General features: G+C 40.7%; 1 protein-coding gene across 3 annotated transcripts in view, besides 1 other annotated feature; it reads right to left on the bottom strand.

Annotated features, from left to right (window-relative positions):
- The window catches only part of ATXN1 (ataxin 1), a 462349-nt gene that overhangs the window by 350708 nt on the left and 94080 nt on the right, over positions 1-17561 (bottom strand). For all 3 annotated transcript variants that reach the window (NM_001128164.2, NM_001357857.2, NM_000332.4), the window contains one exon: positions 7957-8082. The gene's annotated coding sequence lies outside the window, so the exon portion shown is untranslated. The remainder of the gene's footprint in view (positions 1-7956; positions 8083-17561) is intronic.
- Positions 5178-5267: an enhancer, noted in NCBI's record as "active region_24113". NCBI's record gives its function as "activates an Ori minimal core promoter by ATAC-STARR-seq in GM12878 lymphoblastoid cells {active_cell/tissue: GM12878}" and the evidence as "EXISTENCE:reporter gene assay evidence [ECO:0000049][PMID:35858748]".

A 17561-nucleotide genomic window follows, 5' to 3' on the forward strand; every position in this document is an offset into this window, starting at 1 on the left:
GCTTAACACTTGGAATACAAGGTTTAAGATAAGTCAATTTCTGTCTTCATGAATCATTTACCAAGATAGCTATATGAGCAGAAAATTGCAATATAATAGCGGTAACACAGCAAGAGGATAATTTCTGTTTTGTTTTTTTTTTTCCTTGAGACGAGCTCTCTATCTGTTGCCCAGGCTGGAGTGGAATGGTGCAGTCTAAACTTTCTGGGCTCAAGAAATCCTCTTCCCTCAGCCTCTCAAAATGCTGACATTACAGATGTGAGACACCATGCTTGGCCAGGAATTTCAATTAGGCCTCAACGAATGAGTGGGAGTTTACCAGGCAGAGAACAAGAGTCTCATGCGAGAAGAAACAACAGGGACAGGTGCATGGTTATTATATACATAGTATGTTTAAGAAGAAAACAAATATTATATGGAGAGATGGAAGGGATGGGAGTCACGGGAGATGAGATTTAAATGGTAAGTTGATAAGGAATTCCTAGGGGCCTTAGAGGCCATGCAGTGAAATTCACATTTTACCTTATCAGGAGCAGAAAGCTAACAAAATCCTTTCAATTATTCATTTTACTTCACCATATTCATTTGCTACCAAAGGAGTATTAAAAAACACACACACACATGAATTGCCCTAATATTAAAAATACCTTCATTCTTGTTTTCTTTACTTCTAGCCTTTGTGGATAGGCATAGATTTTTGTCACTGCTTTGTAATCAATGTGTTTGCACAATTTTGAAATATGAATTTTATACTTAACATTTGTTGGGTTTAGCCGAAAGCTGCCTTCTTCCATATTTTAAGTTTGGCCTAAAGGTTTCTCCGCATGCAGTGAACCGTAACCTACCTGGATGTGTAAACAGGCTGTAACCTATTCTTGTACCAATCTCTGGGTTTCGGCGAATCACAGGCAGCCTATCGTTCAAACCCTGTTCAAATAAGGCGAACGCTGAGCTGAAACCAATCTGGCTGTTTCTGTACCTCACTTCTGTTTTCTGTCCGTCGTTTTCCTTTTTCTGTCTATAAATCCTCTCCAACCACACAACAGCATGTCAGAAATGCCCTGAATCTATTCTAGTTCGGGAGGAAAGGAGTAGAGAGGAGCTGCCTGATTTGCAAATAGTTCTTTGCTGAATTAAACTCTGTTAAATTTAATTTGTCTAAAGTTTTTCTTTTAACACATTAGATTATGAGTACTTTTCCATATTTCCACATACTACCAAGGATTTTCAAGTGTAGGAGTAATTCAATCAGACCCTTTCTTTCATATGAGAATTCTCAAAAGAGTAGAATAAATGGAACACAGAAAGAAAAGACTTTAAGCAAGGGGCTTCTTGGAAGCCACTGCAGCAGTCCAGGCAAGTGATGCTGAAGGTCTGCAACAGAACAGGGGCCCGAGAGTGGAGAAGAGTGGGTAAACTATCATATTAAAGAGGCCAAACTCAGACTGGGGGCAGTGGCTCACGCCTGTAATCCCAACACTTTGGGAGGCTTAGGCAGGCGGATCATGAGGTCAGGAGTTTGAGACCAACCTGACCAACATGGTGAAACCCCATCTCTACCAAAAATACAAAAAATTAGCCAGGTGTGGTGGTGCGCACCTGTAATCCAAGCTACTCAGGAGGCTGAGGCAGGAGAATCCCTTGAACCTGGGAAGCAGAGGTTGCAGTAAGCTGAGATGGTGCCACTGCACTCCAGCGTGGGTGACAGAGAGAGACTCTGTCTCAAAAAAAAAAAAAAGGCAGAACTCCAGCATATGAGCTAGGGATGAAGCAGAGGAAGAGGAGGTGTCCAGCATCAACAAATGGTGAGCTAGTGACCCTGGAGCCCATAAACGTAGGACAATGACAAAGTCAGGTTTAGATTCAAATTGAAGACACCTATGTGATATCCAGCTGGAGTCATGTGGGAGGAAGTTGGAAATCATTGAGCTTAAACTCTGAAGAGAAAGAGACAGAAATACTAGTTGTGTGTGCAGAGTTGATGAGGACATCATGATGGTGCAGATGCCTTCAGGGAAAGCATGTGCGGTAACAAACTCTAGGTCACTGCTTTTCCTTTTTACTCCAACAATGTGCACGTGTGCCAGTTTAATTCTGATTTCTTCTGATGCACGGCAAATGCCTCCCTTCAAAGCTCTCAAATTGTCACTAAAGAAGGGGACCTACCATGTAAATCAGCATCTGTTTTGATGATGCCTGTTAGAAGAAAGTACATTGCATTTCCTGAATGGGTGTGGTTTTACTCACAGCTATACAAAACCACACAGCTTCTCTGAAGGACTTAGACAATCATTAGCCTGTGATAGCATCAGCAAGAGGAACGAGTTAGAACACATTTAACAAAAGGCATTTTGGGTGCTGCTTTACCGAACACTGGCTTAAGTACCTGAAGGGAACTACACTCCTCTAAGCTGGAAAGCACTGCGAGAGCTTTCTAACGATGGTCTTTAGTGGGGGTACTGGACTGGCGCTTTTCCTATTTACATCTGTTCCAAAAGCAGTACCTATGATTTAGGTGGCTGTTTGGAAATCATGTACCTCTCAAGGATGCCTCACGGTAAACGATACAAGTGACACAGTTTCTAACTAGACAAATGCTCTTTTAGAATCATTTTTTTCTGTTTTCCTACCATGGATGGTTACTTGCAAGGAAATAGTTTACATGGACCACTAAAGACCTCCAAAACAGAAATGCCAACATCTGGCATTTTGCTAAAATCCTGTACTCTATAATTTTTTAAAAATCTCGCCCCTCATTACTCCTCCACCTGACATCCTTTTAGACAAAGGCTCAAAGTCAATTATGCAGACAATGGCACCTTTCTCTTCTGTAGCTGACAACCTGGCTCTTGCCTTCTGCAACCCAAAAACAGCCCTCGCTCCCATCAGATGGAAAGAACTACGCAGAGGAAAATCTAGTAAGGTCTCCATGAAGCACATATTAAAAGCCTAATGTGCCCTTAACATGGCTTCAGCAAACTGGGCTTTTTTCCTTCACTTAGATGAGAATTTGAGAAGAATCCACTCGGTAATACCTTTCTGCTCGCCAAACCTCCTTTAGTCAAAACTGAATAGAGACCTGGGAGAAGATACTTCTCCAACACTGGGCTTGAAGGTGCTTGCTTTTTCACACAAACTGAATTCAGGATTGCCACAACTTCTCCAAGCAAAACTGAACTAAGCAACAGCCAAATAAAAGAGAAAAAGTTGTCAAAAAAAATGTGTTAATGCATTTGGTAGTGGTTAGATTAACAGCTAATAAATGTCCTGATGGCCACGCTGGTTCCTTTCTAGGCTAGCTAAGCTTCTGTGAGTTCTTCTGTTTGGATTCCATCTACCAGGGCTGGAGCCACCAGCAAGGGCATTCAGGAGGTGCACCAGAAGCAGCAACGCCCTGCAAATCTCTCCTGGATCATCCAAGACCAGGCATGCCCTTGCTGGAACAAGAGGCGGACGGAAGGAGAGGGCCAAGTGTCACCACTGCAGTCTGCTAACATTGGATTCAAATCCTGAATCCACCACTGTGCACTGTAGGTGCTTTGATGTGCGTCCACTAGAGCTAAACTTGATCCTTTTCAGCAGCGGGACCGCTCTTCTGCCACCAAAACTGACAACCTGCGAGGCCTAACAGCTGAAAGAAATACCACTCAGAATAAACTGCCAAGGGTAGCAGGTGTGGCTTTGGGAGCCAAGGATAAAGCTTCTAGTTTAGCACAGTCCGGTTCCTATCCTCAGATCTTTCTCCTAGCCTGCTGCTCCAGCCCAGCTCCTCATAGCTGATGTCCCCACTATCCCAATCTTAGTCAGGGGCTCCTGTCATTACCACCAACAGAGTTAGTGATTACAAAAGATAAAGAGACAAAAAAAGATTTCCAAAAGAGCCTCTGCCCTAGGGGAACACTTTACGTATTTGGAAGAAAGTGGGTTTCTAAAGGTTCAGAGAATATGCTGACCTCACATCCTGAAAAAGCTTGGCAACTGAAGAGGGAATGCAACCCTCATGGCTTGATGTTGCTTAGGTCAACAAGCAAATATTTCCTGGACACCTACCATAGGCTCAGACCTGGACCCTTTGCTGTGGGAGAGGAGGCAAAGAGGAGGATGCACAATTATTTTCAGATAGTTATTCTCAAACCTCAGTGTGCAAAAGTTAACTAAGGTGAGTTTCCTGGGTTCTACATCCCCAGAACTTCTGATTCATAAGCCTGGTGTTGCTGAATCTGCAACTTTAATAAACATATCCAAGAGATTCGGAAGCAGGAGGTACTGGGATTAGACCACCCTTGGGAAACACTGGTCTGTGATTTGATTCCTGCCTTGAAGCCATGTGCAACCCATGTGCAATTGTGCTGATGGCAAACACTCACAGAGTAATGCACAGCAGTACATTCTGTAAGAAGCAGGCCCTAAATGTGATAGAAGTTCATAAAGAGAGACTGCTCAGGGCCGGGCGCAGTGGCTTACACCTGTAATCTCAGCACTTTGGAAGGCCAAGGCAGATGGATCATGAGATCAAGAGATCAAGACCATCCTGGCCAACATGGTGAAACCCCATTTCTACTAAAAATAGAAAAATTAGCTGGGCACGGTGGCGCATGCCTGTAATCCCAGCTACTCAGGAGGCTGAGGCAAGAGAATTGCTTGAACCTGGGAGGCGAAGGTTGCAGTGAGCCAAGATTGCCACTGCACTCCAGCCTAGCAACAGACCCAAGACTCTGCCTTAAAAAAAAAAAAAAAAAAAAAAAAAGAGAGAGAGAGAGAGACCAGTCAGTGAAGTCCTGAGGATTCAGGGAAGACTTTGTAAGTGACAGCCAGGATTTGTGGTGAGGCAGAACTTTGATAGAGATAGTCCCCAAGCAACTGTCTTAATCAAACCTCCCGATTCAGCATGACAAAGTGGCCATGGCATACAGCATAAATGGAGAGGAAGATACAGGATAGAAAACCACCAGCAAACAGGTAAAGAGGGTTCCTATGTTGATTACAGGAAGGATACTGTCACCAGGAGAATCACAAAACTAGCACTTCCAGATAACACTGTGTTTGCATTTGCTTTCTACCACATTCATGTGGTTTCCTGCACTTCATAATTTAATATTTGTAAGAGAAAAAAAAATGCTGTTATGAAACCCCAATAATGCATCACTTGAAGGCAGAAAGCCAGCTGCTAACAAGAGTGACATCTGAGCATCATTTCTGAAGCTCTGCTTCAGAAAGGGGATGTTTAGTAAGAAAGAACAATAATAAATGCTATTCAACGTAAAACAAAGTGTGGGGATCCACAGGGTTAACAGGCTGGCCGGTAACCAGTAACACAATGACGGCAAGCACAGAGAAGGAAAAAGTCAGATCCCCTAAAGAAAAACAAAGGACAGTATTTCAAAAGAAGCCTATCTCACTTATTTGGATATAATATTCAGGCCAGGCACAGTGGTGCATGCCTGTAATCCCAGCACTTTGAGAGGCCAAGGCAGGATGATTGCTGGAGCCCAGGAGTTCCAGACCAGTCTGGACAACATAGCGAGACCTCGTATCTACAAAAAAATGGAAAAATTAGCCAGGCATGGTGGCGCGTGCCTGTAGTCTCGGCTACTGGTCTGTGATGATGATTCCTGCCCTGAAGCTGTGTGTACCCCTGATGGCGTGATGACAAACACTAACAGAACAACACATAGCAGTGCATTTTATATGATGCAGGCCCTAAATGTGACAGAAGTTCATAAAGAGAGACCAGTCAGCGAAGTCCTAAAAATTCAGTGAAGACTTTATGAATGACAGCCAGGATAGTCCCAGTCTCATATGGTCCCAGCACAAGCTACGATTGCACCACTGCAGTCCAGCCTGGGCAACAAAGAGAAAGAAACCCCGTCTCAAATAAATAAATAAATAAATAAATTAAAATTAAATACATAAAAATGAATATAATATTCATAAAGCACTGTGCCACATTTTTTTTTAATGTTGCAAGGGAATAAATTATTTACTGCGGGCCGGGTGCAGTGGTTCACATCTGTAATCCCAGCACTTTGGGAGGCTGAGGCAGGCGGATCACCTGAGGTGAGGAGATCGAGACCATCCTGGCTAACATGGTGAAACCCCAGCTCTACTAAAAATACAAAAATTAGCTGGGCATGGTGGCACGCATCTGTAGTCCCAGCTACTCGGGAGGTTGAGGCAGGAGAATCGCTTGAACCTGGGAGGTGGAGGTTGCAGTGAACTGAGACTGTGCCACTGCACTCCAGCCTGGTGACAGAGCAAGACTCCATCTCAAAAAAAAAAAAAACAAAAAAATTATTTACTGCAGATGCTGACAGTCCTGTTTGACCAAAGGGCTGGCTGTCAAATGGGCAAATGGGGCCAGGAGGGACCCCCCGAGGACCTGGCTCCTTTCCTCCACACTGGTTGATACAATGAGCCCCTCTGCAAATGACCACCAAGCCTACACAGAAATTCTGTTGGGCAAGAACTGAAGTGGATAATTATTTAATTCATTGCACTAGAGGGAACTGAATTATAAATTTGCAGGAGACCTTGGAGATCAGTTAGGCACATACATCTTTAAAGGCAAGTCGTTCCAAGATGATGAGCAAGTTCTCCAAGGTGACCAAGATAGGTGGGGCAGACCTAGGCTTCAATTTGAGGACTCTGCTTCCAGGTAATATCATGAACGGGGTTGATAAAAAAAAAATTCCTGGAAGTCCACATTATGTTGGTGTATGCTCTGGAATGGTTTTATCATTTATTTATAGTTTAGAGTGTTTGAATTCCAACCCCCAGACTAAGACTGTCATTCAAGGGCCCATGTATACTTAAAAGTTACTCAGTAAATGTTTGCTGAACAGGACTTGGAAACCCCCATCATCTTTCACCTTGCCCATCACAATAGTCATGCATCATTTAATGACAGGGATATGCTCTGAGAAATGCATTGTTAGGTGACTTTGTCACTGTGCAACATCACAGAGTACTTTCACAGGCCTGGATGGTACACCCTACTACACGCCTGCGCTATACGGTATAGCTTATTGCTCCTAGGCTACAAACCTGGACGGCATGCTACTGTAGTGAATACTGTAGGCAACTGTAACACAATGGTAGGCATTTGTGCCTCTAAACACATCTAAACATAGAAAAGGTACAACCAAAATACAGTATTATAATCTTTTTTTTTTTTTTTTTTTTGAGATGGAGTCTCGCTCTGTCGCCCAGGCTGGAGTGCAGTGGTGCAATCTCGGCTCACTGCAAGCTCTGCCTCCCAGGTTCACGCCATTCTGCTGCCTCAGCCTCCCAAGTAGCTGGGACTACAAGCGCCCGCCACTACACCCGGCTAATTTTTTTTTTGTATTCTTAGTAGAGACAGGGTTTCACCGCGTTAGCCAGGATGATCTCAATCTCCTGACCTCGTGATCCGCGCGCCTCGGCCTCCCAAAGTGCTGGGATTACAGGCGTGAGCCACCACACCCAGCCCAGTATTATAATCTTATGGGACCACTGTAATACGTGTGATCTGTCGTTGACTGAAACTTCATTATGTGGCACATGACTGTATTTGATCACAAGACGCAAAAAACTTGCCATTAAATTGAATCTACTTCCTCTCGTGCGATTAATCCCTTATGTTTTCAGCTAAAATGGAGTATCTGGTAGATGTAGTTTATTTGCTGTTTGTGTGTTTAGTTGTTTGGGTTTGCTTTGTTTTTGCTTTTGTTCTTTTTTCTAACCACAAATACATTCTATTCAGATCATACTATTCTGCAAGTTTCAGAAACAAACACATAAAGTAAATGCGGTTGCTCTCTCAGTGCTCTGTCACTAGGACAACATTTTTTCAAATGTCCTGTTATTTAGGATGTAGAGAAATAGCAATACGCTTGAAGAAGAAGTTCTGGTACACCAGTGAAGTGATGCCCGATGACATTTAAAGCTAAAAGATGTCAAGTCTTTTGGATGACTTACCAAAAACCATTTGTGTTTCAAGACCATCCGTGCAGGCTGAAATCCACTCTTTCTCTCTTGTTCCTGGTCTGCAGCAGCACTAAGTTTGAAGCTTCAAAATAGACTCTTTCACTATGCTCCAGTATGCTGCAGTCAAACAAAACAAAATACCAAGTCAGAATGAAAATGCCACTTCAAGCAGTTAGTGGATATTCAGGGGGAAATCCCTGGCCTTTCTCAAATGTATATTTCATAACCTCAAACAAGCATGTTAATTATCAGGATGAAGCCATCTCACTGCTTATCTACATAAGGTGCCCTAAAATACTGGAGGTGGGGTGTGGGAAGGAAGAAAGAAAGAAAAAAAAAACAAGCATGACACTGGGGGAGGTAGCAGGTCTTGAAAATCAGAATGTACACCAGTGGGAATGCACTTGCAAAATTTCAAGTTTACCGATTGAAAGATGTGAATAAAGAAAAATTCAGTACGTCTAAGTGATTAAAGACTGATGTGCAGTATCAAGGGCAGAAAGTGAAGAAAGTTTGCTTCAAATGAAAGACTCAGACTAATCAACTGATGTGAATACTTTTTAAATAAAGAGCTATTAAGATGGAACAAAAAAGATAAAGCATAAGAGAGAGAACATTTTCCATTTTGCCCTATAAGTAGGTAATGCATGGGTTTCCCTTGTGTGATTCTTGATAAATACTTTCTCCACCCAAGCTGAAAAGCAGTAGTTACTTTACACACTGAATATGAAATGAATGTTTAAAATATGCATGCCTCTTTACCCCCACTCAGAGCAGCTGATAAAGCCTACACATTAGAACCTCGTCTGACAAGGTCACTCTGAAAAGTTCCTTTCTGCCTTGTGAGCTTTTAACGCTCACTTGTCACAGGCTGTTGTTAAAGCATCTTCTGATGCTTAGTCAAATCCACCCCACTGTTTGTTTTTTGACAATGGCCATTTGAGAGCCTAGAAACAGTCTTCCAAAGGTGTCTGCCTCCTTTTTTAGCCTTTTATGAGCTCATCCTCATCTATGTTGAAAACCCATCGGCTGACTGTCATCCAGTTCCCTGAGTATGGTGGCCACATCATACTTGTAACCCTAAACTCCATAAATCTCCAAAGGTCCCACGGTGATCATCAAAGATTGGATCAAGTGACCAAGTTGTAAGAAAGAGGATATGCTCGTATGCCTCAGAAGCTTACTGTGTGAATAACTAATTCCTTGAAAGCCTTCTGTAACTATTACTTTATGGAATAGTCAACCTTTTTTTCGGGACGTTTGAGGAGTTGTGTCTATCTGTGGTTAAATTCCTGGGAACACTAAAAACTTTTGAGGAGGAGAAAGTGTCTCTCCGTTAATGTTTAAACATGTGAGTTGAGATAATGCCATTCAATTTTCCATCTAGCCGGAGGAACAACTGCCTGAAAATGGCAAAAGCCTTTTTTATTTTTTGGATGCTATCAGTACCCACAGAAAATGGGGTTGTAAGGATTTTATTAGTTTTATGTAACTCAGCTCCCACTCAAATGTGTAAGGCAACATACTGATAGAAATCAACATAAGCCAGGAAGTTCAAAGCATGACAAACTGTCTTTACTTTACCGGCTTGGTAAAAACAGAATTTGGAGAGAGGAGGAGGATTTAAACAAGTTCACTGCAAGTTACTGGCTTGTATCAATCTTTTCTTTTTTAACTAAAAATATCTTGCTGCATTTCTCTTATTTGTTACCAACTTCATATCTCGAGGTATTCTATAATTGGAAGAGGTCCTTGACGTTTCATTCCAATGTCTTCTGCAAAGGAACCTGCTGACCCAGGGAGGTTGACATACCTCTTTTTAAAGTCATACAGAAAGTTAATATGTACTTTGACTGGATTCTGGGTTCAACCACTCATGCTCATTGACGCTTAATGGACATAAACTCATTTAATGAAATGTAATGCGGTTTTAGTTTGAAAAATTTACCAGTAGCATGATACTTCCTCATAGTACTCTCTTTCTGTTTTGTTTTTGCCATAAGAAAATAAATTCATTTCTGGATTATATTATTTTCAACTATCTTGCAGCAAAATCGATCTGGGAGAGGCAGAATGGTCCCATTTGTTACTTTAACAACCTTCACCAGCTGCCAAAGCTAGGTGTCCAGAAAAGTAAGGTTTATACTATTCATACAGAAAAAAAAAATAAGGACTCATCTAAGTGACAATATTTTCCATTCTTACTTATATCTGTAGATGTGAAGGAGTTGGAAGTGATTCATTCTGTGATTTATCGCTGACCTTCATTTGCACATACTACAACAGCTATGAGGCAACTCTTATCAAAAGAAAACAACTGAAAATTCTACACACTTCTTTTTAAGCAATAATTTCAATATGCTTCCCTCTTTCAGCAAACTCTTTATCAATACCGTTAATAATAATCAACAAAACAAACTGGCTTGGGTTTAATCTCTGTCACCTATCCCTTCTTGTTTACCATTTGAAGTTATCATAAGCAAAGATAAGGCCAAAAGCCCAAAAAGCAGAAGAGAAAGCACAGGGGCCTAGGGCATTCACAGATATGCCTGCATATGTGAAAGTTGGCTATATTTTAAAAAGGATCTCACTCCAGAGGGTTTTCCAATTTGATAGACATTTTGGTGAAAATTTTCTGAACAGTTATAAGCAACAGCAGCAGCAGCAAAGTATGGGATATCAACAACCTATAAACAGTGACCTGGGAGTCATGAAATATACTTTTTAGTCTTAATGTTGTAGCTAATTGGACTTTTAAATGTAAGTCACGGCCTTTTAAATAAAATTAGTTCCTAATCTATCAAATAAAGGAACTTATTAAATGTTTGCCATAATTAATTCTCAATTATAATTTGTTTTTACATGTATTTGAATGTTTCAAATCAAATAAAATCATAACAAACACAACTATCTTATATGATTTACTAGACCCACTAAGTATATCTTTATTCAAAAATGCAACAATTAGACACAGATTGCATAATAAGAGACAAACAGGTTCTCAGTAGAATATCAACTCAGGGAAAAAAGAGGTTTATTTTGTTTTGGTTTTTTTTTTTTTTTTTTTTTTTTGAGACAGAGTTTTGCTCTTTCACCCAGGCTGGAGTGCAGTGGAGTGATCTCAGCTCACTGCAACCTCTGCCTTCTGGTTTCAAGCAATTCTCCTGCCTCAGGCTCCCAAGTAGCTAGGATCATAGGTGCCCACCACCACACCCAGCTAATTTTTGTATTTTTAGTGGAGACGGGATTTCACCATGTTGGCCAGGCTGGTCTTGAACTCCTGACCTCGTGATTCACCCGCTTTGACCTCCCAAAGTGCTGGGATTACAGATGTGAGCCACCGCACCTGGCCCAGGAAAAGGGTATTGTAATCAATAAATAGTGCTGGGAAACCTGGCTCTTCGTTTCGAAAGAGATTGCTATCTTACACCATATGGAAAATAAATTCTAGATATATAACTAAACATATAAACATGTGTTTATACAAATATACATATATAGCATTTATTATACATATATATTATTTTACAAAATATAGAAAAATAATTTTATAAGCATGAAAGGCCTTGTAGGCCATTGTAAAGATACCGACTTTTAAGTAAAATGGGAAGACCAGAGATAATTTTTAATGCAGTAGTATCATGATCTGCCTTACATTTTAAGGGCTCATTTGGTCTGATTGTCAGGAATAGACCATAAGGGGATATAAATTAAAGCACAAGTTACTGTTATAAGCAGCCTGCAGGATGGCTTCCAGTGATCCCACCTCTTGGAATTCATGCCCTTGTAAAGCCTTCTTGAGTGTGGACTGGATTTAGTGACTCAATTCTAGCAAACAGACTGTGGCAAAGGTAATGGGAGATCATTTCCAAGACTGGGTTACATGAAGATGGTGGCTTCCATCTTGGGATCTTGCATCCTCTTCTGGGTTACTCACCTGGGGGAGGCTGACTGCCAGGCTGTGATGCAGTCCTGTGGAAGGGCCCACATGGCATATCACTGAGGCCTGCTAGCATCTATGTGAGTGGATTTGGAAGCAGATCCCTACCGCCCCCACCCTATCCTTCAGATGAAACGTCAGCCCAGGTTAACAACTTGACTACAACCTCATGAAAGACTTGGAGCTAGAGACACCCAGCTATGATATGCAGTGATTCACACTTAGAAAAACTGAGAGATAATAAACACTTGTTGTTTTAAGCCACTAAGATTTGGAGTAATTACTTACACAGCAGTAGATAACTACTACAGTTACAATGTATGAAACACTCTTCTGGGAACTTTACATGACTTTTTACAGTGGGAGAAACTGAGCCCCAAAGAAGTTAAATCACCTGTTCAACAGCACACATACATGGTAGAGGTGGGACTCAAACTCAGGCCATCTGACTCCAGAAACCAGGTTCTTAATCCCTGCATCACACTACCCCTTTAAGAACCATTTTTCCTACTTTAGGTGTGCATGCCTGAAATTTGACTTTCCACTGTAGAATATGCTAAAATCACACAATTTGCACAAGCAATGAAGCATCTGCATCTTCATCAAACTTCTTTTTTTTTTTTTTGAAATAGAGTTTTGCTCTTGTTGCCCAGGCTGGAGTACAATGGTGTGGTCTCAGCTCACTGCAACCTCTGCCTCTCAGGTTCAAGCAATTCTCCTGCCTCAGCCTCCCAAGTAGCTGGGATTACAGGCACACGCCACCACGCCCAGCTAATTTTTTGTATTTTTAGTAGAGACAGGATTTCACCATGTTGGCCAGGCTGGTCTTGAACTCTTGACCTCAGGTGATCTGCTGGTCTCGGCCTCCCAAAGTGCTGGGATTACAGGCGTGGGCCACTGCACCCGGCCATTCATCAGGCTTCTTAACCTGCCACATAGCTCTACAATTCTTGCATCTTTGATACCTTAACTATATCATAAGCTATATTCAGTTGTCAAAGAAAACAGAAAGGTAGCCTCTTGCTGTTTGAAGAGCAACCTCAGTATGGTTCTTCCATTTCAGTCTGGTTAATTTGCGTCATTTAACTATTAGAGAATTTCCAGCACCATTTGCCAACGCTGTAATAAATAGTCCTATAAACTGAATGTCTTTTTGCAATTGTAAAGGGTTTTCCCTGAAACTACTCAGTGGTAAGGAAAAGAACAAGATACTGAATAAGATAGCCACAGTATTTTCTGTTTGGATTTTTTTTTTTTTTTTTTTTGAAATGGAGTTTTGCTCTTGTTGCCCAGGCTGTAGTGCAATGGTGCAATGTCGGCTCGCTGCAACCTCTGCCTCCCGGGTTCAAGCGATTCTCCTGCCTCAGCCTCCCAAGCAGCTGGGATTACAGGCGTCCACCACCATGCCTGGCTAATTAATCTTTAGTAGAGACGGGGTTTCACCATGTTGGTCAGGCTGGTCTCTAACTCCTGACCTCAGGTGATCCACCCACCTCGGCCTCCCGAAGTGCTAGGATTACAGGCAGGAGCCACCGTGCCCGGCTGGATTTTTTTTTAATATAGGAAAAAATCAATTTTCAGTTGGCAATAGAAAGTCACTAAGGATTCAAACTGTACGAAGTGTTTCAGTAGGAACCGGCAAGACCAAAAAATTTTTTAAAAAGAACTTTTGAATTATATAAAATACAGTGACTATTGTCCCTATAATTATTATAACAAATTAAGATGTTTCTATTCTTTCTGTGGCATAGACATGTGAAATACAGAAGGAGAAAGAAATTCTCGCTGCACTCCTGCCTCAATACAAATTTAGAATGGCACTGTGCCGGGAAGAAACTGGTGCTGGGTGGTGCAAGTATCAGTCTCATGTCTTAGGAAGATGATGCTCATCACGCAGCAGCCAGGAGCATGTTTTTTAATTTTTTATTTATTTATTTATTTATTTATTTATTTATTTAGAGACAGGGTCTTGCTCTGTCACTTAGGCTGGAGTGTAGTGGTGTGATCATAGCTCACGGCAACCTCGAACTCCTCAACTCAAGCAGTCCTCCCAGCTCAGCCTCCCAAGTAGCTGGGATTACAGGTGTGACCCATCATGTCCGGCCAGGAACATGTTTTTGATCCATACTGATGGAATATTCTTTATTTTGGTCTGACTCTTAGGATTGTACCCACAACCAATGGAAACTAAAGCACTGGAAAGAAAGAATCATAAAAAGAAATACAACAAAACCCACTGCCATTTCTAAATCTTTCTGTTACCCAAAGTGACTGTGTTTTATTAAAGGCATGTGATGCATCACCGAAGGTATTTTTTGCCATTTAAAAATACCAAACAGTAGTAACAGCTCAACAGCTAGGCTGCTACCACTTAACCTGCAATTTGGACAATTTTGTGGGGATGAAATTACTTTGTCTTATGACACATGGAGCAGATGCTACTAATTAACACACAAAAATGTCTAAAACAGAGCTTTAAAAAAACATATGCATTTGGAAACAGAAGTAGAAACAGCTTCAAAGAGTATAAGCAAAATGGCATAATACAATGAATGAAGAGTATGTTTTTTTAAGAAAGTCAATCAGATTCGCAAGTGAATTTTATAGGCCTCTCTCTAAATAAAGTATGGATTTGAAGGAAAATGTCTTGCTTTTAATTTTTTTGTTAACGGAAAGAGGGCAGCCCATATCATATACCAGCCGGTACGTTCCATAGGATGTTATATTCCATTGTGGAACATTATGTTGTGCCAAAATTAAAAGGAGGATAAAAAAAGGTTGGGATAATTTGTTTTTAAAGGTTGGGATAAATTTGGGAAAGACTTTGGAGGGTCTCATATGTTCATGTGTATTGTAAATCTATGAGGGGAGAAAGCACTCATCTAGGCCCAAAATATATTTTACCACAGAACACTTTTTCCAGAAGAAAGGTGAAACCAGTGGACACAGGGTGTAGACACTGACCAGACTAGGCCAGTGGTCCTCACACTTTTGGTCCTCACACTTAAAAGCTCCTTGGGTCCTCAATAAATTTTAAGAGTATAAAGTTTCCTCTATACTCCTAAAATTTATTGAGGACCCCAAGGAACTTTTCATTAGGTAGATCATATTTAACAACTATTATACCATATTAGAAGCAAAATTGAGAAAAATGTAAAATATTCATTAGTTCATTTAATAGAAATACTAATATACCCATTGCATACTACATGAAATAACATCTTTATGAAAAAATAATTATATTTTTCAGAACAAAAAAGTTAGTGACAAGAGTGAGATCCATTTAGATTTTTGCAGCTCTCTTTAATGCCTGGCTTAATGGAAAATGGTTAAATTCTCTTCTGTGCCTCTGAATTCAGTTTTCTGTGATATGTTGTTTGGTTGAAGTATGTGGAGAAGATGTGGCCAATAGTTTCAGCAATTGTGGATATTCTTTTTTTATATCATACCAAAACTCAATAAGTGGTAGTTTCTTAAAGGGGAGCAGCACCATGGAATCTGAAGCATAGAAATAAACTCTAAGTATTCTTTTATATTAAAATTCATTAGTCTATCTTGAACTTTGGATGGATCTTTAGCTATGCATGATTTTGTAACATCATACCCTGGTCATTTGGAAAATTATATTAGTTCAGTGAATTATGCAAATCTTCCAAAAGTTGACACATTTCATTACACAATATCATCACACATCATATAGCCTCTGAAAAACTCCGCTGTACACATGGAAGAGAATGGGAATGGAATAGGTAAATAATGTCTTAGTATTACCATAAAAATAATCTTGATCTTACAGATGTCCCTCCAGAAAAGGTCTTGGGTGGGGGTGGGGGGGTTCCCAAAGTGAGAACTGCTGACCAGGCAGACATTCTAAACCCCACAGATCCCTACTGGAAGTAAAAGCACAGAACTCTAGGTTTCCTTCTGGCCTCAATTTCCATAATTCCCACCATTTGTCCTCTTGGGGATCACTGAGTACAACCTAACAAAGACCATTAACCCATGTGGTCAAGAACATGAGATAAACCATGAGGGCACCAGAGGGAAGAGTTATCTGTGGGCGGAAAACTGTATTTACTTGGATTCTACTAGGCAAGAAACTGTGAGAAGTGTGCATTTTTAATTTTGTTTTATTTTTATGGGTACATGATCGTTGTGCATATTTATTGGGTACATGTGATTTTTTGATACAAGCACACAATGTGTAATGGTCAAATCAAGGTATTTGGGATACCCATCACTTCATTTCTTTTTGTTAGGGACATTCCAAATTCATTCCTCTAGTTATTTTGAAATATACAATAAGTTATTGTTAACTATTGTTGCCCTATTGTGCTACTGAACACTAGCTCTTATTCCTACTATCTAACTATATTTTTATAGCCACTAACCAACCTCTCTTTATTCCTCCCTCCTCACTACCCTTTCCATCCTCTGCTAACCATCATTCTACTCTCTGTCTCCATGACGTCATGTTTCTTAGCTCCCTCATATGAGTGAGAATATGTGATATTTGTCTTTCTGTGCCTGGCTTATTTTACTTAACATAACGTCTTCCAGTTCCAGCCATGTTGTTACAAATGACAGAATTTCATTCTTTTGTATGGCTGAATAATATTCCACTGTGTATATGTACCTTATTTTCTTTATCCATTCCTTCATTGATGGAGACTTAGATTGATTCCATATCTTGGCTATAATGAATAGCTGCAACAAACATGGGAGTGCAGGTATCTCTTCAATATACTGATTTCCTTTCTTCTGGATATATACATGACTTTTCTTTTCTTTCTTTCTTTTTTTTTGGAGTCTAGCTGTGTCACCAGGCTGGAGTGTAGTACTGTGATCTCAGCTCACTGCAACCTCTGACTCCCTGGTTCCAGTGATTCTCCTGCCTCAGCCTCCCGAGTAGCTGGGATTACTGGCACATGCCACCACACTCAGTTACTTTTTGCATTTATAGTAGAGACGGAGTTTCACCATGTTGGCCAGGATGGTCTTGCTCTCCTGACTTTGTGATCCGTTCGCCTCGGTCTCCCAAAGTGCTGGCATTACAGGTGTGAGCCACTGCACCCAGCCATGACTTTTTTTTTAGCAAACACTTTCTTCCAATCTAGGCTTTAAGAATCTAGTTAAAATTTCTTTTAACTAAAGGAATAAACTTTTAAAGTACATGGAAAGAGATTCAGAAAGACCTTTTTCATGAAATCAATTCATGAAGTAACTAGGTAAATTATAAATCATTATCTATTTAGAAAGAAAATACGCAAAGAACTACTAAACAACACTGGTTATCTTTGGGTGTTAATGGACACATGCAATGATAATAGCTAACATTCACATGTTAAGCCCTTGAGTTTCATTATCTCCTCTAAGCCCTAGAACCATCCTAGGCAGTGGACACTTTTATTACCCGCCTTCTAATAAATAAAGAAATGGAGGTGAAGGAGCTACATAATGTACCCACAAGTGACAGATTGAGGACTCCAACCTCCATCCACCTGAGAGCAAAGATTCTCTATCTCCTCAGTCTGCTGCCTCCTTTCCAATTAATAGTTGACTGAACTTCGGTAGATTCTTCCTCTGGCAGGTATTCCACAATCATGAAACATCCTCTTCACTTTCTTGTTTCAAAGTGAGGAGTTGGCTTGATGAA

The sequence above is a fragment of the Homo sapiens genome, chromosome 6 (assembly GCF_000001405.40).
Source record: "Homo sapiens chromosome 6, GRCh38.p14 Primary Assembly".
In the NCBI taxonomy this organism is placed as follows: Eukaryota; Metazoa; Chordata; class Mammalia; order Primates; family Hominidae; genus Homo; species Homo sapiens.